This window comes from Homo sapiens, chromosome 12 (genome assembly GCF_000001405.40).
Source record: "Homo sapiens chromosome 12, GRCh38.p14 Primary Assembly".
NCBI classification, from domain to species: domain Eukaryota; kingdom Metazoa; phylum Chordata; class Mammalia; order Primates; family Hominidae; genus Homo; species Homo sapiens.
Genome location: NC_000012.12, coordinates 57207901 through 57227286, shown reverse-complemented (window position 1 = coordinate 57227286; position 19386 = coordinate 57207901). Strand labels below are relative to the sequence as shown.

At 60.7% G+C, this 19386-nt stretch overlaps 2 protein-coding genes across 3 annotated transcripts in view, besides 9 other annotated features; both read right to left on the bottom strand.

Moving 5' to 3' along the window:
* Positions 838-10493, bottom strand: NXPH4 (neurexophilin 4). Of its 2 annotated transcripts, XM_017018747.2 has the most exons (3): positions 10261-10493; positions 2067-2409; positions 838-1612 (listed from the first exon to the last, which is right to left on the bottom strand). In XM_017018747.2, the coding sequence occupies exons 1-3, from the start codon at positions 10315-10317 to the stop codon at positions 1341-1343; spliced, it is 672 nt and encodes a 223-aa protein (XP_016874236.1). In that variant the 5' UTR covers positions 10318-10493; the 3' UTR covers positions 838-1340. The 2 variants fall into 2 exon arrangements, with proteins under 2 accessions (XP_016874236.1, NP_009155.1); NM_007224.4 differs by having other exon boundaries at positions 838-2409.
* Positions 2181-2340: a silencer, noted in NCBI's record as "silent region_4578". NCBI's record gives its function as "represses an Ori minimal core promoter by ATAC-STARR-seq in GM12878 lymphoblastoid cells {active_cell/tissue: GM12878}" and the evidence as "EXISTENCE:reporter gene assay evidence [ECO:0000049][PMID:35858748]".
* Positions 3071-3977: an enhancer, noted in NCBI's record as "H3K4me1 hESC enhancer chr12:57617093-57617999 (GRCh37/hg19 assembly coordinates)". NCBI's record gives its function as "activates a minimal SCP1, AML or CMV promoter by ChIP-STARR-seq in naive H9 embryonic stem cells {active_cell/tissue: H9 hESC(naive)}" and the evidence as "EXISTENCE:reporter gene assay evidence [ECO:0000049][PMID:30033119]".
* Positions 9233-9839: an enhancer, noted in NCBI's record as "H3K4me1 hESC enhancer chr12:57611231-57611837 (GRCh37/hg19 assembly coordinates)". NCBI's record gives its function as "activates a minimal SCP1, AML or CMV promoter by ChIP-STARR-seq in naive H9 embryonic stem cells {active_cell/tissue: H9 hESC(naive)}" and the evidence as "EXISTENCE:reporter gene assay evidence [ECO:0000049][PMID:30033119]".
* Positions 9840-10448: an enhancer, noted in NCBI's record as "H3K4me1 hESC enhancer chr12:57610622-57611230 (GRCh37/hg19 assembly coordinates)". NCBI's record gives its function as "activates a minimal SCP1, AML or CMV promoter by ChIP-STARR-seq in naive H9 embryonic stem cells {active_cell/tissue: H9 hESC(naive)}" and the evidence as "EXISTENCE:reporter gene assay evidence [ECO:0000049][PMID:30033119]".
* Positions 10471-10930: a silencer, noted in NCBI's record as "silent region_4577". NCBI's record gives its function as "represses an Ori minimal core promoter by ATAC-STARR-seq in GM12878 lymphoblastoid cells {active_cell/tissue: GM12878}" and the evidence as "EXISTENCE:reporter gene assay evidence [ECO:0000049][PMID:35858748]".
* Positions 10471-11095: a biological region, named in NCBI's record as "H3K4me1 hESC enhancer GRCh37_chr12:57609975-57610474".
* Positions 10596-11095: an enhancer, noted in NCBI's record as "H3K4me1 hESC enhancer chr12:57609975-57610474 (GRCh37/hg19 assembly coordinates)". NCBI's record gives its function as "activates a minimal SCP1, AML or CMV promoter by ChIP-STARR-seq in naive H9 embryonic stem cells {active_cell/tissue: H9 hESC(naive)}" and the evidence as "EXISTENCE:reporter gene assay evidence [ECO:0000049][PMID:30033119]".
* Positions 12093-12615: an enhancer, noted in NCBI's record as "H3K27ac-H3K4me1 hESC enhancer chr12:57608455-57608977 (GRCh37/hg19 assembly coordinates)". NCBI's record gives its function as "activates a minimal SCP1, AML or CMV promoter by ChIP-STARR-seq in naive H9 embryonic stem cells {active_cell/tissue: H9 hESC(naive)}" and the evidence as "EXISTENCE:reporter gene assay evidence [ECO:0000049][PMID:30033119]".
* Positions 13849-13898: a silencer, noted in NCBI's record as "silent region_4576". NCBI's record gives its function as "represses an Ori minimal core promoter by ATAC-STARR-seq in GM12878 lymphoblastoid cells {active_cell/tissue: GM12878}" and the evidence as "EXISTENCE:reporter gene assay evidence [ECO:0000049][PMID:35858748]".
* Positions 13926-19386, bottom strand: part of LRP1 (LDL receptor related protein 1) — an 84879-nt gene continuing 79418 nt past the window's right edge. The window contains exons 77-89 of the mRNA NM_002332.3: positions 19071-19249; positions 18470-18576; positions 18088-18204; positions 17419-17595; positions 17118-17258; positions 16807-16980; positions 16408-16569; positions 15937-16111; positions 15699-15800; positions 15473-15537; positions 15270-15360; positions 15026-15170; positions 13926-14872 (exon numbers count right to left, since the gene is read on the bottom strand). Of these exons, the coding sequence (NP_002323.2) occupies positions 14732-14872; positions 15026-15170; positions 15270-15360; positions 15473-15537; positions 15699-15800; positions 15937-16111; positions 16408-16569; positions 16807-16980; positions 17118-17258; positions 17419-17595; positions 18088-18204; positions 18470-18576; positions 19071-19249 (1776 nt within the window). The 3' untranslated portion in view covers positions 13926-14731. The remainder of the gene's footprint in view (positions 14873-15025; positions 15171-15269; positions 15361-15472; positions 15538-15698; positions 15801-15936; positions 16112-16407; positions 16570-16806; positions 16981-17117; positions 17259-17418; positions 17596-18087; positions 18205-18469; positions 18577-19070; positions 19250-19386) is intronic.

The window sequence follows — 19386 nt, the reverse complement described above, 5'->3', positions numbered from 1 at the left end:
CCAGTGGGCACCCTGACCCCGGACTCAAGGCGAAGATGAGGAGTTTCTCGGTGCCTCAGCTTGTCCGCACCGCCCCCCCTCCCTCCTCCAGCCAGGGGCCCCAAGGGGAGGGGGCGGCTGAGCGGAGAACCGCTAATGAAGCCGCAGCCAATTAACGCCCAGGCCAGGGTCGGGGGCGGATAAAATTAGCAGCCTCGGCTGCAGGAGGGAGCCGGAGGCAGGGGTTGGGGGAGGGTGGGCAGCTGGCTAAAGGGGGCTGTGTTTGCTAGTGGCAAGTAGCGGCCACGGGCCCCGCCCTCCAAACCCGCGCTGGTCCCTTCCCCCACCCCCTCATCCCAAAGCTCCCTCCCCACCTCCTCCGTCTGCAAACTCAGCGCCCACGAAATTAGGAAGGAAAAGGAAGATCGATGACTCCAGATGCCGCGAACACCGTTCCCCCTCCCTCCCAACCTGCCACCTCCCGCCGGCCCCGTGGAGCTTAGCAGGTTGTCAGCGCTCTGCCTACACTGTCCCTGTCCATCCCATTCAAGGTCTTACACCTCCTTCCCCAAATCGTCCGCTGGTGATCCCCACTCAGGTCTCATTTCCATCCCACTTGCTGCAGCTTCCCTTCGCCCACCTCAGGGAGGAGAATCCCAACCTCAGGCGGGGCTCCTACCCCGAGGGTAACCCTCAGCTCTCTTTGATCTGGTCTTTGGTGACTTCCAAGGTGCTAGCTCTGTCAGTCTTTGTCTTGGTTTCCCCAAGAGCCGCTGAGGGAGAAGGCCTTGGCCAGGTCTCTACCACATAGAAGCCCCACGCCACCTCCCCATTCCCTACAAAGGTCTCACACAGGCGTGTATTGGATTTCACTTTATTTTGTTCCCTTTCCCGTCTGTTTTGGCGTAGAAAAAATATCACCGAGAGGAAGCAGCAGGAGAGGGCAGGTGGAGCTCGACTGCCTGGACTGGAGGGGGGCGGGCAGGGGCAGGGGCCGGGGGCAGGGCCAGGGCCTCAGCCCAGGGGTTCTGCTTCCGGTACCCTAATAGGGTTTGGAGGAAAAGGGGACAGGCATATGGCAGGCAGAATGGTGGGAGGACAGGCCGAGGTTTTTAGGCCTTTACAGTCTTAGGCGGGGTAGGGTGAAGCAGGACAAGCGCTGGGGGATGGGAAAGTCAGGGTGGGGTGAGGGTGCCAGGCCAGGAGTTATTAAAGCTGCGGGGAAAGGGAGTGCGCAGCCTAGCGCCAAGGGTGAAAAGGGGACCCACTGTGGACCCAGGGGACATTGGGACCGCCTCCAAGCCCCGCCTATTCTGGGGCTGCACTCTTATCCCTTTCACTTTGGGGTGTACTGGAGGGGGCTACCCCAGCCTTGCGGGCACTCCGCATAAGGAAAAGGGCACCCACGCTAGCTGAGGGTCCCGAGAAGCCATTCCCCTCCGCCCCCAGAGTGGAAGGAGTGGGCGACATGGCCACAGGAGCGGCAGAACACTGGGAAGGGGGTCCCACCTAGTGAGGCTGGGATTTGGCGGGAGGCTCAGGACTGGCTGGGGAGGGGCGCTATCCGAAGTAGGGGTGCTCACTCTGGAAGTTATAGTCTGGGCACACCTTCTGCACCAGTTTGTAGTCAAAGCTGAGGAAAGAGACGAAGATACAGATGACTTTGAAGGGCTTGGCACAGAGCCAGGCGGCCTGGCTCTGCGTGTGCTCGGTGAAGCACACCTGCGACGGGTCGTACAGGCACGGTCGGTGCTTGCGCGCGCGGTTTGTCTTCTCATACTCCACGTGGCAATTGAAAGCGCGTGACTCTTTGGCCCCAGGCACTCCCAACGCGCCCCCAAGCGGCCCCGCCAGTGCGCCCCCGAGGGAGCCCCCAAGCCCGGGCCCCGCCGCTGCTGCTGCCATCCCCAGCGGGGGCCCCAGCCCAGGAAGCACCCCCTCCAGGGCGAGCGTAGACTGCAGAGGGTGGGGGACAGGCCCGGGCAGCCAGACTCCTCCGAACTCGACACGCTTGGAGGGCGGCACGATGCTGACACTGAGGTTGCCCAGGCTGGACGAGTTGTGGCGGAAATACACACTGAAGGTACCGTTCACATGGTCCACGATCTTGCCGGTCACCAGCAGCGAAAACTTGAGGGTATGCACCCGAAAGTAGAAGTCCCCCCAGCCGAAGATCTTTTTGGCGCGCGCCGCCTTGATGGACGGCTTCCTCTTGGTGCGCTGCGCGGGCAACGCCCCGGCTGCCCCTGCCCGGGCCAGCGCCCCCGTGTGGTTGGTCGGCCAGGCCCAGCTCCAGGCGCGGCCCACGCCTAGGCCGTCCGAAGACCTTGGCTCTGGGAGCTGCTGGCCGGGGGCACCCGCTCCGGCCGCGGCGGGGCGCAGCCCCAGGTACTGCGGCCTTCCGGACTCTGGTATCTGGGCACTGACGGCCTGTGCACGAAGAAAGAGGAGAGAGAGACGCTGGGGTTGTCCCCCGCCATCCTGCCAGAGCCCTATCGACGCCAGTCCCTTTCCACAGCCGCTAGGAGACCAAATGGAATCACGCAGTCCCGCAGCGGGCAGGGAGCGTGCCTTGGAGGAGAACTGCAGCCCTTTCAAGCTATGTAGTCTTGGCCCAGTCACTTCATGGATCTGGGCCTCAGTTTGTACATCTGTGAAATGACGTCAAGAATCCTGATGTGGCCCACAGAGCTCCAATGAGGGCCAAAAACCCAAAGCCAGTGTGAAGGTGAGTAGGGAGTGGAGCTCTGGATCCTGGCTCATCTTTCCTGGCCCGGCACCTGGTTGGTTCCAGTAATGAGCCAGGGAGGGACTGGACTCTGAGCAAACTGAGCCAGGGAGGCTGTGACCACATTAACATCCAGCATCAAGAAAGAGGCTCCCGCCCGGCACACGCGGTGACTCACGCCTGTAATCCCAGCACTTTGGGGGGCTGAGGTGGGCAGATTGCCTGAGGTCAGGAGTTCAGTTCGAGACCAGCCTGGCCAACATGGAGAAACCTAATCTCTACTAAAATTAGGCGGGCGTTCTGGGGTGCGCCTGTAGTCCCAGCTATTGGGGAGGCTGAGGTGGAAGAATCACTTGAACCTGGTAGGTGGAGGTTGCAGTAAGCCTAGATCGCACCATTGCACTCCAGCCTGGGCGACAGAGCGAGACTCCCTCTCAGAAAAAAAAGAAAAGAAAAGAAAAAAGGAAAGGAAAAGAAAAAGAAAAAGAAAGAGGCTCCAGGACCTCAGAGACCAGAGCCCCCACCTGGGCCTCAGCCCCAACTGGCCTGCAAGGAGTGAGTGCTGGGAACCAGTTGAGCAGAGGAGGAAAGCCTGGGTATCCCTCCCAGTCGCCAGTGCTCCACTCTGGTGGAGGCCGCCTGGCCGTTCTTTTCCTGGGCTCCAAGGGGGCTAAGGAGCCCCCTCCTGCTCCCACCCGTTCTATGTGTCTCAGGTGGCCACCGATCTTGGAGACAGCATGGGCTCGAGGACAAGATGGATCGAGAGGCAGGAGCGGCCGGGCCAGGCCCGGGCCATCAATTATCTGGGGTAGGGGTGAGTGGGGGTGGCCAGGAGTGAAGGAGACAGGAAGCAAGAGGAAGAAATATGGAGATGCCGCTCCAGCGAGGGGAGCAGGCAAGAGAGGAGCTGCATGTCAGAGTGTGTCAGTCAGCCTGAGCTAGCCACCACCGCCGCGTGCTGTGGCCCTGACTGTGCACAGGTCCCATGGGGGGAGGCAGTACCATGTGTGTCAGCCTGGGGTTCTGGTGTCTCTGTTAGCCCCAAATGGTTGTGTGTGTGTGGCCGGTACATGTGTGTGTGGCTGTGGTGGCTGTGTGGGTGTGTATCTGGATGCCCATGGTTATGAGTCTGAGGAGCCTGTGTGTGTGTGGCTGCTTGTCGTGGCTGCATGTCTGTTGTGTAAATCGGTGACTGTGTGTATGTGCCTGGATTGGCTGGGTGTGTGTGTCAATTTGTGGAGTGGTGTCTGTGTGACTGGTGTGGTTACGTGTCTGGGTTGGCTATATGGCTGTGTATAGCGGTCTGAGGGTAGCTATATGTGGTTGTCTGGAGGTGTCACCTTTCCTGTGTGAGCCCCTGTCATCCTCTGCCCAAGTGTCAAGCTCTTTCTAAAGGGGGTGTATCCGTAGTCATAGAACAAGTGTGGTCTTGCTGTGTTCCGATGGGGGTGACATACATGCATGTCAATTGTATCTGAGTGGTCTCTGGGGAGGTGTCCTACACTGGCCCACAGGCTGTGCTGTGGGTAGGTAAGGAGGCCAGGAAGCATGGGTGCCCCCCTCTGTTTGCCCACACCCATGTGTACACACACAGTGTCACTGGGGACAGGAACAGCAGAGCCAAGCTGCTGGGCTAGAATCTCCACCGCCTGGTCCCCGTCCCCGCCACGCTGCGATCCCGGGTTATTAATGCTGCCACCACCCGCTCGTCATACATATTTATCGCCCCCCTCATTCCCCCTCCCATCCATCCCTCCTCTCAGCCCAGGTGAGGGGGCGGGGGCAGCAAGAATGATTGACTCCCACAGACAGGCTTAAGCCAGCAGCTAACACCTGGAGGGTGGGCCTGAGAGAGGGTGGAGGGAGGGGTCCCAGGGTACAGTGGGAGGGAGAAGAGGCCCCAGAAGTGGGCTTGGAGAGGGCAGGGCCTGAATCTGAGAGAGGGCATTGGGGGAGGGAGGTTAGGTTTCCTGGGAAAGCTGAAGGGTGGGCCATTTGAACTCTGGTCCCTAATCTCACCCAACCGCTGTTCTTTCCAGAAGCCCAGTCATCCAGGTCCCCCCTATCCCCATGCCATCAGATGTTATGACCCCAAATGCCTCCAAGCCATCTCCTCCCAGCAGACCAGAGCACCCCTATGTCTTGTACCCAGTCAGAACCTGGCTGGGGTGATTCAGGCCAGTGACTTCTACCAGACAGGGGCAGGGGGTAGAAGTAAGGGGCAGGGGGAGGGGAGGAGGTTCAGCAGGGTAAGGAGAGGTTCCAGGGTGTCACCCCCATCTCTGATCTCAGACAAAGTGCCGTCTGTGCTTCTCTGATCCTGGCGAATCCCCTGGCTTTGGGCAGTCCCGCCCCCACCCACTACTGTAGACAGCCAAGATAAAAAGGAAGAGTTGGGGGGGCACGGCTGAAGCGACCTTGTAGGGGAGTTCAGACAGGGAGGGGTGAGAGTCTGTGAGGAAACGAGAGCCGAGAAATGGGAACATGGAATAAAATAAAATAAGATCCTCCCTCTGGCTCCCTTGATTGCTCGTGCTCTCTCTCCCTCTCTTGTGCTGTTTTTCCATCTCTCCCTCCCCATTCTCTCAGTCTCTTTTGTCTCTCAGTCTCTTTTCTCACTGTCTCTGTCTCAAATTTCCTCCTCCCATGATTCTGATTTTCTCCCTCTGTCTGTGGTTCTCTCCTGCTGTCCTTCAGGTTGTCTGTCTCCAGCAACATGGGGGGAGGTGGGGGAGTTGGGAAGGCAGGTGGTAAGGAGCTCCTCTGCCCAGAGCTCTTGTCGCCCACCTCCATGGCTGAGGGTGGGAGCAGGATGTTGTCCGAGGAGGGGTCCCCCTTGCTCCAGAGCTGGCTTAATTAAGCTAATTGGGCGCGGTGACATTTGCGGAGGGGAGAGGCTAGCGCTGCTGTCGGCGCGGGGGCGGGGCGGAGGTGCGCGGCAGCTGGGGGGTTCAGCAGGCTCCTTCAGGCCCATTCGGGGAGCGGGGAGAGCTGCACCAGGAGGGCTTTACCCCCGAGGCAGCGGGCCCACGCACCTGCAGGGAGTTGAGGTGGCCTCCTGCTGCTGGGGGCAACAAACTCCACTTCGGGGAGTGGCTCTTTGGGGATGACACTGCTGGGATTGGGGGAGGATCAGGCTGTCAGCCCCCCAGCCGCATTGCAGGGTGCACCTCCCCTGGGCCTCCAGGCTGGCCCGTTGCTTTTCCCCTACCACCTGGGTCAGGCAGGGTGCTCCCAGGATCTGGCCGGAGGAAGGGACAGTCCAGGCCTGGGCTGGGGAAGGGGAGAAAAGAGCATCCTGAGCCCCTGCACCTAGAAAGAGGCAGGGGTGCTGCAATAGGGGCCGGTGGAGTCTGGCTGGGAACGAGGGATAGAGATGTGGGTGAGGAGAGAGGTGGGGTGGACAGGACAGCCTGGGGTGAGGACTGAGACAGAGAGGGAGGGGGACTGGGATTGGGGACTGGCAGGCACAGATATAGAGTACAGGGATGAGGATACAATGAGGATAGGCCTGGGGACAGGGATGAGAAGCAGAATAGAAATGGTGGCCAGGCGTGGGGCAGAGACAGAGATGTGGATGGGGTAAGGACCAGAGAAATGAAGATGGGCTACAGAACAGTCCAGGAAGCAGCATGGGGACAGGAATGGTGGATGAGGGATAAGCACAGGGGACAGGCAGGGATGGGGTCAGGGTGGGGCAAAACAGAGATGGGGGATGGGGATGGTTACTGGGCAGAAACAGTGATGGATGCAGAGACCCAGGAGATGGGGATGGAAGACTCAAAGGGAGACTGGAATGGGAAATGGGGGACAAGGGAAGACACAGGAGACGGGGACAGAGACAGGGGCTGAGGACAGGTATGGGAGAGGAGCCAGAGGGCAAGGCAAAGACCAGGCAGGATCAGGCTGTGGGAGGGGGCCAGGCAGGTTGAAGCGAAGACACCTCTTTCCAGACCCTACCACTGCATGAGGGGGCGGGGACCGCTGGTGGGGTGGGGTAGGCTCTGCCCTTGGGCTGGACGCCCCCTCCCTCTACCCCTGCCTGCCTGACTTCTCTTGGCCTGCCGCGCAAGGCTCACCGTTATCTGAATTTTTATTTTATTTTATTTTATTTTATTTTATTTCCCTGCTTCCTGGAGCCAGCGCGGTCCCCGCGGGAACGACTGCCCCCCCGCCCCCCGCCCCGCGCCTCACTTTATTATTGCAATAAATGTGCCTATAAAGGCGCCGGCTCCGGGGCGCGGTGGGGGTTGGGGGGAGCCGCGGAGCGGGGATGTAATTTCCCGAAGCCGGAGCCGGAGGGGGAGTGGGCGGGGTGGAGGTGGAGGAGGGGCAGGCGGGGGAGAGGGGGAGCCGCGCCAATTTCCAGCGCTCAAGGCAGCGCTCCCTGCTCCCCATCCCCACTGGGCAGCTGCTTCCCACCCCACGCCCTGCGACTCCTCCTGCGCCTGAGCCCTGGGACCCTCTCCTATGACCCTGCCCCCTCTCTGTTGCCCTGTCCCTCACGGATCCCACACATCTTGAGTTGCAGGGCTAGGTCCAAAGTTCCCCATCTCCTTGCCAATTACTCCATCTCTGACCCCTGTGAGGTCCCCCCACTTACCTGTTTTCTTTAGACGTTTGTGTTGTCTCTCTCCAATTACCTCGTCCCTGACCCCTCTTTGCCTTGCTTCTGTCCTTATTACCTCACCTCTTCGCCAGTCACCCCGCTCCTGGGTCTCCAGCTCCTCTACCCATCCCAACCCTGACACTCTAAATTCTCCTTTCTGACGCATGCCCCTCCTATTAGGAATGTGAGGCTTCCACTGCAGGCTCTGGCCCAAGGGAGCTGTCACAGCAGGCCCTCCCCTGTCCCCCTGGCCCAGCTGCGGCCCCTGATTACCCCCAAATCCCCGGCAGCAGCTCTGGGCCCTAGCCCAGGCTGTGCGTGCCTAAGTGGCCCAGGCAGAGATTAGCTGGGGGGCTAGAGGAGGGTGTGGAGGCAGGAGGGGGTAGCTGGCTGAGGGGCTTCGGCCAGCCAGCTCTAAGAGAATCAGACCTAATCCTTTCCTGAGGCGGGATAGAGCTGGCAGGTCCCACAGGGCCCCGCCCCTGCCCTCCCCCAGCTAATTAGTAATTAGTGATTAGTGATTAGTGACTATTGATCGCCTGCTGCTTCTCCCAGTAGGCAGCTGCTTTGGCAAGGGGTCGGGGAGACAGAGAGAGAGGGAAAGGAGTCAGAGACTGTATGAGAAAGATCCTCAAGAATCCCTGGCTGAGAGGCCAGAACCCCAGAGGCAGTGGAAGCCAGGAGTCCCAGGCTCTGAGAAATGGGAAGCCTGGAGTGAGGAGGAAGGGAGAGAAACCTGGAGGAGGGTGAGCAAGCAGGACGGGAGAGGCAGAGGTGTCAGCCGTTCATGGTTAGGGTTGCCAAAAAGTTGCCCTGTAAACTGTCCCCTAGCCACCTCTTACCCAGGATCAGCCTCACCTTTTGCCCACTCCCAGTGCTGGCACCAAGACACCCTTGAGCACCCACACACATAAGCCACACTCAGATACATAAACACATCCTGAGGCTCACAATCTCATAGCACACTCAAATGCACTCACAATCACAAGCACACAGAAACACACTCACAAACCCCAGAGACTCATACAGACAACACATGGGCCCCAGCACACAGATGCACCAGAAACCCCGGGGTATACATGTGCATACGCCACACTCACAAGTGCACAGAAGCACACACAGGTATTTGGACACACAAACACTCATATACCCACACCTCCCCGTGCAGTTATACATATTCACACACCCGCAGTGTGTACACATGTAAACACATTCTCACATGCACATAAGCTGGGCTAACCAGCAGATCCACTCTCCCTGTTGACTCCAACACGGAGGCCCCACAGCTGCAGCTCACACACACACACTCAGATAGATCCCATTGCTCATATCCTCACGCTCACTCTCACTCAAGTCTCCACCAGATGTTTCATTCCCCCTCAGGGGGCAAAGGAAATTAAACCAGATCTGTCCACAGGGGAGTTTATTTGCCTGGGAGAGTGGAGATGAGGTGGGAGGAAGTGGAAAGGAGGGGCAAGAGAATGCCATACCTACCACCTCTTGACCCCAGGCCTTCACACATGGGTGGGTGGGTGGTAGGGCACAGACCCCCCCCACTCCTCCAGTTCACTAAGGACAGAGTTGGGCAGCAAGTCCCTAAGAAGCTCCTGCTAGTGGAAGCAGTTTTCATGGAGGGGCTCCTCTGCCTACCGTGCAGCCCCTCAAGGTCACCAGGTGGGGCTGGGAGGGCCAGGGAGCTCTAATGCTAGCTTCACTGGGGCAGCCCCTGCCCTGCTGGGGTTTGCCAAATGTGATTTGGCTGAGCAGGCAGAGGTCCAAGTGTTGGGGGAAGAAATACACCCCTTCTAGACTCTACAGGGGCTGAGGGTACAGAGAATGAGGGTTTGGGGAATGACCTGCCTGCCCCCAAACTAGGTAGGTCACAGTTGGGGGTCAGAAAACAGGGAAGCCATAGGCAGGGGAGGCTGGTAGAAGGAAAATGGGGGACTGGGGCCTGGGCCCCCATTGCGGGCACACACCAGGGGCATAGGCAGATGGCTGCACTGTGAGGCAGGCACTGACACTCACTCATGCAAAGCCAACACCACACACCACACCAGTATACACATGTACCCTCGGCCCCAGTACTGGACCAAGCCTGGCTTCCCTGGACACATGCACACAGGTGCACACGGTGACCCACGCCCTCCACCCAGCACATATGAGCACAGCATGTTCGCAGGTTGAAGCCTCCAAGTCAGGAAGGAGGCAGATCAAGTCTGAGCTCCCTTAGCCTCTGGCTCTTCGCCCGAGAGCCTCAGGGAAAGAGGCCTTGGAGTGGGGTTGGAGGCAGGGAGGGCATGGGAGGAGAGACTCCCCTTCCAGACAGCCTCCCCCTTCAGTGGGGCACGAGAGGGGGGTGTGTCTGTGAGGTCGTGCAGGGGAGATGGTGTCTCCGTGGGAAATGTGATGGGAGGCTGGCTGTAGCCAAGTTCAGCCGTGTCTGCCTGAGTCCGTGTGTGCGTGTGTGCTCGGGCCATGGATGCTCCCGACACAGAGCCCACCTGGCATGGTGACAAGTGCAGAGAAGAGAAATGGGAAGGCGGGGGTGGAGGGGTGGAAGGACAGACAGACAGTGAGGCAGGCGAGCGAGACTGGCGCGGAAAGACGGCAAGGCTGACACCCTGCTGGCTTGTCTGTCTGTCTCGCACTCCCGCTCTGTCTGGCGCACTCGCGGGTCGGGCTTCGTCCCCTCCCCCGCCGCGCCTGAAGTCGGCTGCAAGGGGGACCTCCGCCCGGCACCCTCTCCAAGCCTCAGCCAACTTGCGCTAGGAGAGTGCCCGTCCTGAATCGGGCAGTCTGTCTGTCCGCTTCCCCCGCGCCGCGCAAAGTTGGGACGCTCGGAGCTGGGGGCGGGGCGGGCGCACGGAGCCCCTCGCACACTGGGACCTTCGCGTCCCGGAACCCCGCGCCCGCGCTAGCGCCCCAGCCCTGCCACTCTTACCTTCCTAAGGAGCCACGGGCCAAAGAGCAAGAGGAACCATTCCGGGAGCAGCCGCATCTTCTCTGGCGGCTGAGCGGGGCAGGCTGGGCGGGTCTCGGGCAGGCGGGAGCCAGGCCTAGGGACGCGGGGCTCCGGGCGGGCGGCGGGGCGGCTGCGGGAGCGGCGGGAGCGGCGGGAGCGGCGGGAGCGGCGGCGCGGCCCGCGGACTGGGCGCGAGGCGCGGAGCCGGCGCTGGGGGCGGGGCGCGGGCGGGGGAGAAAGTTGGGTCTGACTCCGCGGGCGGGGGGCGGGGCTCCGCGGCGCTCCAATCCCGGCCGCGCCCCGCGCGCCCCCTCCCGCCCAGCTGGGGGCACCGAAGGTGACTTTCACACCGGCACGCCCCGGACACGCCCCTGGCCCAGGTGCGAAGCGGAGGGGGTCGAGGGGCTCAGGCACTGGTCCCCCGAGAGGCCGCGTCTGTGCGCCCAGGAGGAACGGGGCAGGGCGTGGGGCTCTGGGCTCCGGGCCCGTGCACCTGGAGTGGGGGCGCCGCGGAGCCCAGCCGGACGACGCTCTCCAAGCCCCGGGCCTCTGCCCTGTTCAGGGCCAAGGTGTGTCGGGGCAGGCGCAGGGCAGGGGCCGAGGTGGGGACGGGCGGGGCCTCGGGCGGCTGCCGCCGCGCGATGCTGACGGGGATGGATGGGCGCCCCGCGGCTCATTCGGCCCGGAGATGAGAATCATTGATCACGGACGGAAACCCCATCACGTCTGTCAATAGGGCTGACAAACGGCGCCCTCCGCCCCGTCCCCGCCTCACCGCACCTCTGCGGTCTCAGGACCCCTCGGCTAGACCGGCTGTTCACCTTTGCCCCTGGCCCCCACCACTGACCCCCACGAGGCCCAGTGCGCCTCTGCATGGGGGCTGGGCAGGAAATCCCTCTCAGCGCCGCCTGCCTGGCCTCTTGGTGCAGTCTCTGTTCCTCCCCTCCCGCCGTCCCATCTTTCACCACCAGCTCTTCTAGATCCTTGTCCCCATTCCCTATCTCTGTCCTTGTCTCTGTCCCCAGCCCCAGCTCTCTGCCCCCATCCTCTTCTCTGTTTCTTCCTCGGTTCCCTCCTCCCCACTGCCTCTCTCTCTCCTGCCCGGGTGGTTTCAGCTGTCAGCTGTTGCTATGCACTGAGGCTGTGGCTGAGGTTGTGGTATGACCAACACCTAGACAGAGATAGGGACAAGCAAAGAGACTGAGAGACAGACACATCCCTTGAGAGCCCACCCCAGGGATGCACGCAGATGCCTTCACGGGGACAGGGCACACAGAGCGAAATACAGAGACAGGCGCACACCTAGCGGCACCCCAACACACAGAGGAGCACAGCAACAGAGGTGAGCACACCTGCACCCAGACGAGCACACCCAGACAGTTGCTCAGTGCGCTCACCCTCTCTTTGTCTTGGCAGAGAGCAAACACCCACAGAGGTGGACACACACACTGAGACATACACAGGTGTATGCTGTCACTGGCAGCCCAGAAGACAAGTGGGGGCACATACAAAGAAATGGACAGATAGATATGGGACGTGACAGCCACACACACGAGTCAGGAAAAGGACCGGTGCTGAGAGGACGAGGCAGATTCAGAGACACCCAGGGAGACAGGCAGAAGCCAGGAGGCAGGAACCTGGGTGCCGGGGTGGGGGTGGAGAGGAGAGAGGCAGGAAGGGGCAGAAATGTTCAGGCTCAAGGCCAAAAGGCCTTGAGCCAGAACCCTGAGCCCACGTTCCAGGCACGGGGGCTGCTTCAGTAGTAGGTGGGAACAGTGGGCACACCTAGGCGTAGGCTGTCCAGGACAGAAGCCCATTACCAGGGTCCTGGTCTTCTGGGGGCCGAACCCACTGCATCTCTCCTCCTTTAGCTACAGTCTCAGGCCACCTGTTCTCTCTCCAGTTACACACACACATGTGTGCGCGCTCGCACAAACACAAGTGCAAACACACACATGCACACTACTCGCCCTGTCTCTGGGTCTTTGCCTCTGTCCCCCTGTCTCTCCGCCTCTGGGTTTCTGCCTCTCATTCGGTATCAGCTTCTGTCCCTGGTTCTCAGCCTCTGTCCCTGGTTCTTCCCATCTCTCAGGCCAAGGTGAGGGCTTCCCACCTGCCTCCCGGGTGGGTAGTTTGAGAAACTGCCTCCTGGTGGACCTTCTCCTAGCAGGTCCTGACAGGCGGAGTGGGGGATGCTGACTGGAGGGGTATGCCTTCCAAGCTGCAGCGGGGGTCCCTTGTCGCTCTGCCCAGGATCTTGAGGTGACAGGCAGAGATCAGTGGCTCCCGGGGGGCACCAGATGCACCGATGGCAGAGGGGCAGGGTTGGGGCTGGTGGTGGTGGGAGCAGGCAGGCGCTGGGGCAGGGAGGGGAGCTGGCTGGCAGAGGGTGGAGGGGTGTGGCAAAATAGCCGGAGAGAAGGAAGCGAGAGACTGGGCTGGGGTCCCCCGCAGGTGCATAATGAGTGCTGAGGCGGGGGCTGTGTGGGGCTTCAGGATAGGCGGTGCTCCAGGCGTACAGACACCACCTGGTGGCCAGATTGGGACACAGACCTCCTACTCGGCAACCACGGATTCTGTTTCCCCGCAGTTGCCCATCCAGGGCCCTTTTGAAGGCAGGGGAGGATCTCAGAGTTGGCTTGGAGGATGAGGTTGGAGAGAGCTTCTGAAGGCTAAGAAGGGAAGGGGAGGGCTCCTCTTTCCACAGGTGCCTAGACTTGTAGCTTCCCCAAGGCAGAAGGAAGCCTGGGAGGAATCTCCTGGAGTTGAACCAGTGAGGGAGGAGGAATGAAAGGCAGCACTTCCTGGTTGGGAGTTGGGTAAGGGATCTTCAGACATTTGCAGCCACCCTTCCTGAGCTCATATTTGCTGTACTGGGACTCAAACCCTCTCTAGTCCTGGGCAGTGTAAACTGTGCAACTTTCTGCAAGAAGTTTCCCCCTCTAGGCAGGGGTTGAAATGGACCTGGACACTTTTGATTGACAGTTTTTTCCTGTTACCCCCTGGAATGACTGAAATGATTGGTGAGCTGGAGCTGCTGGGGGCCTAGAGGGCCTGGCAAACTGGTCTTCCCAGCTCTCCTTTACCGCAGGAGACACCTGGCTCTGGAATGCAGCATTTTACTTCGCATTTGATTCATTAGTCTCCACAAAGTGAGACGTCAGTGCTTCAAGAGCAGACTCAGGCAGAGAGAACCGCATGGGAGGACCCTGAAGGATGAGAAAACCTTTGCAGCCTCAGTGTATTCACTTCTTATAGTGGGGCTTCTCACTGTGGGTGATCATTTTGGGTAGGGGGGTGGTGTCTGGTAGAAGTGAATGCAGAGAAACAGATCTGAGTTAGTGTCCTAGACCCAGAGGGAACACAAAATCTGGAGACTCGAAGTCATGGCTGAAGGTCACACAGCCAGGAGAAGCAGATCTTCCATGTCAAGTCCAGTGCCACCCGCTTCCCGGGCACAGTAAGATGGAGAGGGGGAGGGCCCTGGGAGAAGGGCACTAAAAACCACGCGCCAGCCTGCCTCCAGCACGGGGCAGGTCTCCCTCTGGTGGCCGAAGCAGGAAAGCGCAGCCCCAGCTCCCAGCGTCTCTCACACACAGGCAGACACCAGCGGCTTTTTTTCTTTCTTTTTTTTTTTTTTGGCCTTTTTTTTTTTTTTTTTTTTTACAATTTTATTTATAACAATATCTGTGTTATTTAGTTGTAAAGGAATTCAGCAAAAATTATTAAAACGTTCACGTCCCCAAAACGGGGCTGCCCGCTTTCCCTTCCTGGGTGTGGCCCACCTCCTTGGCGTCCCCAGGGGAGGGGAGGCTGGAGGAATGTTTACCAGAGGAAGTCTCCAGCCCTGGGAACCTCGGTGGGGGCCCTGGAGACAGGGAGGGCCTGTCTGGGAGGGGGGTTGAGCATGGCCATCTCATAGGTGCCCCTGGAGTTGGGGCTGGGGTTTGGGGTGGCCTCCCCCAAGAACTAAAACACTCCATCCTTTCCCGCCTACCTCACCCAGAGCCACGTCTTCCAGACAGGGGCAGCAAAGAACTCTCCCTTCCCAGAATTAGCCCTCAGGAAGCTGTGGGAGCGGGCAAGCAGGGATGGGGCGAGAGGGGAGAGCCTTGGCAAAGTGTCTTATACAGGGAGGGGAAGGCTGCACCACCAGCTCTCCCAGTGGGGTGCGTTCTGGTGGGAGGGTAGGAGGTGCAGCCCCAAGCCCTCCCTGCCTGTCTCCCTGAAGGCAGCATGGGGGTGCCAAGGAGCAGGCAGGGAGGGGATGGAGAAATAATACTGTGCTCGCTTGCCGGCTTGCTCGCTCACATATAAAATGTAATTCCTTCATTTTTACATTTATACATCCGGCGGGGCCAGGGAAGGGCTGGCTGGGGAGGGGCTCACTGAAGGACTTCACTGGCAGGGGGCAGGAGGCTTTCTGGGGGCAGTCCGACGGGGCAGGGCCCTATGCCAAGGGGTCCCCTATCTCGTCCTCAGGGCCCCGGCCCAGGAGTTCTCGCTTCTCGTCCGTGCTGGCCAGGGAGTGGCGACTGCCATGGCCCCCCATGTAGAGTGTGGCATACACGGGGTTGGTGAAGTTGGTGGGCTGCAGGGTGACAGAGGGTTCAGGTAGGGCTCAGGAGCTGGGCCTGTAGCCCAGGTTACCCCACCCCCACCTCCGTCCCTCACCTAACCCAACACCTTTGGTTAGGCCACCCACGGCCTCTTGGCACTCGACCCTGCCCGCCTCCCAGCCCACCTTGTCAGGGTCCAGGGCAAAGTCAGCGTCCAGTAGGCCTCCCACATCATCAGGCTCTCCGCCTTCGTACATCTTGTAGGTGGGGTTTCCAATCTCCACGTTCATGGCCCCGTTGGTCATCCGTTGGTGCTGGAAGCCCTTAGCCCTGGGGAAAGGCAGGAGTATAAGGAGACAGAGATTATTGGGGGGGAAGGCTAGGATGGCAAAATAATGACCAGAATGTTCCAGAATCCCTGTGACTCACCCTTGGACTCGCCGCTTATACCAGAATACCACTCCGGCCACCAGAACCAGCAGCAGCAGCAACAGCAGAGGGATTAGGATGGAGGCTATATCTGGAGGGAAGAGGTGGGACACTGAGTCACCAAGGCTCAGGGAAGCAGGAGGCACACGGTCCCCCTGCTCTAGGTCCCGGTGGCCCTGCCTGCCCCAACCCCTGCCACCTACGTCCTGGCTGCTGCTGGCTGAAGACGTGCTCCTCACACCGGGGCCCTGTCATGTGGGGTGGGCACCTGCAGAAAGGAGGGACACGGCTGAGTAGGTATAACCTCCATAGCCACTGCTGCCAGGAAAACAGGGCGGGGGGTGGGCACTGAGGCCTGACGGTCCTCCTGCTCAAATCTGGGGAAGGGAGCGATGATCTATGCCTGGGTGAAGCCCGGGCCCAACTCACTGGCACTCAGGCATCATTTTGCTGTTCATGGTACAGGAGCCGCCATTGCTGCAGTGGCCGACGCAGGTCAGACAGCTGGGGGCCACCCGGCCATCCGTGCAGCTGCAGGAAGGAATCAGAGGCTGGGGCTGGGGCTGGCAGAGGCGTGCCTGGGATGCTGAGGAAGGGAGGGGCAGGGCAGGGCTAGGACAGGGCAGGGGCCCAGCTGGGTGGAACTGTGGAGGAGGGCCCCACTCACTTGCAGGTGACATCCCCACTCTGCTTGTTGACCACACAGGCCCCTTCGAGACAGCGGCTGCACTTGTTCACCTCACACCTCGATCCCTCAAAGTAGGCAGTGCAGCGGCATTGTCGGGAGCCATCAGCAGCCATCTGGCATGTGCCAAAGTTCTCACAGTAGCCAGAGCACTGCCCTGTGGTTGGGGAGGGAGAGAAGTGCCTCAAGCCCCACCCTCATGAGGGCTCTCCATAGGTTGAACAGAGCTTTTCTGTTTGCATAATCTTGGTGCAGGGGGTGCACTGCCTCAGGGGAAGTGTGCCAGCACCTTTGTGGGGAAGCGCCAGCAGCTTGGGCCTGGCTCAGCTGCATAAGGCCTTCTTTCCTGAACTTGCCCCTGTGGGTCCCAGGCACAGGTTGAACATCACCCCATGCTCTGGGGTCCCCCGTCACCCTCCCGCATGCCCTGGGGCCCAGGGATGGCTCACTCACGGTACTGGCAGCGGTCGCCCAGGAAGCCGGGTAGGCATCGGCACTGGGGCTGGTTGCCCTGGTTGACAGTGCAGGTGCTGTTGTTGGCACAGTAGCCCGCACACACCTGCTGGGTGCATTTGGGGCCCGTGAAGCCCGTGGGGCACCGGCACGTGGGCATGCCTGGTGGGAGAGGATGTGTGAGCGCGACTGTGGCCCTCGAGACCACCTGGCCCTATAGCAGAGGAATGGGCTGGGGGGACCTGGGCGAGAAGCAGAGACTGGAGTGACTGGATGCTGGGTTGTGGAAAGGAGGCTGGAGGCGAGGCAGGGGCTGGGCATTTGCCTGAGGTGGGGTGGTGGGTGGCGGGGCTGGGGCCCAGGGGCAAGGAGCAGGCGTGGCGGGATGAGGGGGCATACCAGAGGGGGAGGCAGCACAGGTGCCCCCATTGCGACAGTGCTCCCAGCACTGGTCCAGTTCACACTTGTCACCCGTGTAGCGGGGTTGGCAGCGGCACTTGGGCTGCCTCCGTGCATTGAGGAAACAGCTGCCACCGTTGAAGCACTGCAGGTTACAGGTTCCAGGCCGGGGAGCTGCAGGAAGGGCCCGTCAAGGGGCAGAGCCAGGGGAATAGGAGGAGAGGGACAGGCAACAAGGTCAGGGGAAGTCAGGAGCCACAGGAAGGAGATGGTCCTGAGGCATGGCTGGGACTGGGAGGGCATAAGCATACCATCTGGGGGGGGCGTTGGAGAGGGCACAGGCACGCATGTGCCGTTGTCCAGCCGCTTCCCATTGGGACAGGTGCAGACAGGCCCACTGGGGCTCAGCAGGCAGAGCCACTCGCATTTCTTGCGGTCACATGGGTTGGTCACTGCAGGTATGGGTGGGGTGGGGAGGATGCTGAGCAGGACCCTTCTCTGAGCCCTGTGAGCCCAGGGTGACCCCCTCTCCACCAGGTCCCAGGGCCACAGCTTGGAGACTCAATGCCCACAGGCCTCCCTTCCCCAGCCCAGGCTCCCCTCTGCCCCCACCTTCGGGCTGCTTGTGCTGATGGTAAAGGACCACGTCAGAGGCGTGGCTCAGGCCCCCTGTCAGGTTGACCAAGGGGCTGTGGCCAAACTTATGGATCTTGAAGACACGATTATTGATGTAGGTGACACCATAGATGTAATCCTCAAAGACGTCGATGCTGAAGGGGTGACTTAGGCCTGGGGGAGGAGGTGGAGTCAGAGGGGACCTGAGGGGCACTCAGGCCCTGGCCATGCTGTCCACGACACTGGCACCTGTGGTTCCCAGACACCTCAAACTCAACACATCCAGACCAAATTCTCTCTCCCCACACCGGTTCCTCCTCCTGTGGCCACTACTGGCAAAAGGTCCCATCACCCCCAGACTTCTGGGGTCAGTCATGACTGACTTCTATTCCTTCTCCCCCAATTTGCTACGTTCCTAATGTACCTATGCTGCCTCCGTGCAACCCAACCAATGAATGGACAAGTAGGCCAGAGGGTCAGGGTGGGTCTCAGGCCTGCAGGGCTGGTTCAGGGGGAGGCCAGCTGGAGAGGCCTGGAAGGCGCTGCAGCATTGCTGGGGGTCAGTGACAAAGGATGGGAGGCATTGAAGTGAGGCCTTTGGCTCAGTAGGGAGGATGGCAAGGCTGGGGACAGGGCTGGGGACTGCGACTTATGCCGGGCTCTGACCTCGTTTGCTGTCAGCAGCCACAATGGGGTCCGTGCCATTGAGCCGGATGCTGCCGATGACTGAAAGCTTGGCGTCTGCCCAGTACAGCCGCTCATTGTGATAATCCACGGCCAGGCCTGGGGAGAGAGAGAGCACTGTGAGAGCTTGGCCTCCCCAACCCAGGCTCGGGGTGGAAAGAACTGCCTCCATGCCCGGGACAGCTCCACCCTGTTCATACGCCACTCACAGTCACCTCTTTCGGGAAAAGCCTCCACGGCCAATCTGCCCTGCCCCAGTCCAAGCCCCATCCCATCCCTTGCTTTTGTGTGACTTCAGCAGCAGCTGGGCTCTGCGAGCCGGGCCCCCTCCATGCCCGTCCCTCCTGCACCCTGCCCCACAAACCTGTGGGCCACTGAATGTTGTCCTGCACCAGTGTCTCCCGAAGCGTCCCATCCATCGCTGCCGTCTCAATCTTGGGGTGGTTGCCCCAGTCTGACCAGTACATGGTCCTGGGGAGGGAGAAGGGGTGAGTGTGGGCAGGCCGGAGGGCCAGAGGAGGCAGGCCCAGGCAGGACACCAGCTTCTTGGTCTGGGGACAGGGACTGCTGGGGACTGGGAGGAGGGCATTCTGTCCTTCTACAGAGAAGCAGGCGGGAGTCTGCTTCTGAGCAGGTTGAGGGGCTTTTCCTCTAAAACCACAGTGTGCTCATTCAGAGCCACCGACGCTGGCAGAGCTGTTCCCCAGGGCAGAGTGTGGCTGTGCATGACAGCCGGCCAAGCAGAGGTCAGATCCCTGCCCAAGCAGGCCCAGCTGGGGGCCCTGGGCAGAGGCAGCATGGGGAGGGCCAGGCAGGGGTGGCCGAGAAGACCCAAGGGACTGAAAAGGACTCTGTCCTCAGGCTGGCCTGGGAGGGAAGGGCACGCATGTGGGTGCAGCCCCCAACCCTGTCCCGGGGGCTTCCTACCACCAGCCCAGAGGCCTCCCCCCAGGGCCCTTGCCCACCCCCTCAGTGGGTCCACCACAATGGCGTGGGGCTCGTCAATCATGCCCGAGATGAGCGTCTTGCGGTTCTCGCCCTTCATCTGCGCCACCTCAATCACATCTCGGCCCGAGTCGGTCCAGTACACGTTTCCGGCCACCCAGTCGATGGCGATGCCTCTGGGCATCTTCAGCCCTGAAATCTGAATGGAAGCCACAGGTTCAGGGGCCACTGCTTTGTCTTCCTGCCATTATCCCCCCGCCACCACTCTGCCAGCCTGCTGGAACGTCACCCCAGGCTCACAGCCAGGACCCTGGCTTTAAAGAGATTCAACCGGCA

Bases quoted from the DNA above. Each gene is read 5' to 3' on its own strand.
- NXPH4 (NM_007224.4), bottom strand. From the start codon at position 10,317: ATGCGGCTGCTCCCGGAATGGTTCCTCTTGCTCTTTGGCCCGTGGCTC. The intron at 2,410-10,260 runs GTAAGAGTGGCA...CTTCGTGCACAG, and splicing joins GCCCGTGGCTCCTTAGGAAG to GCCGTCAGTGCCCAGATACC.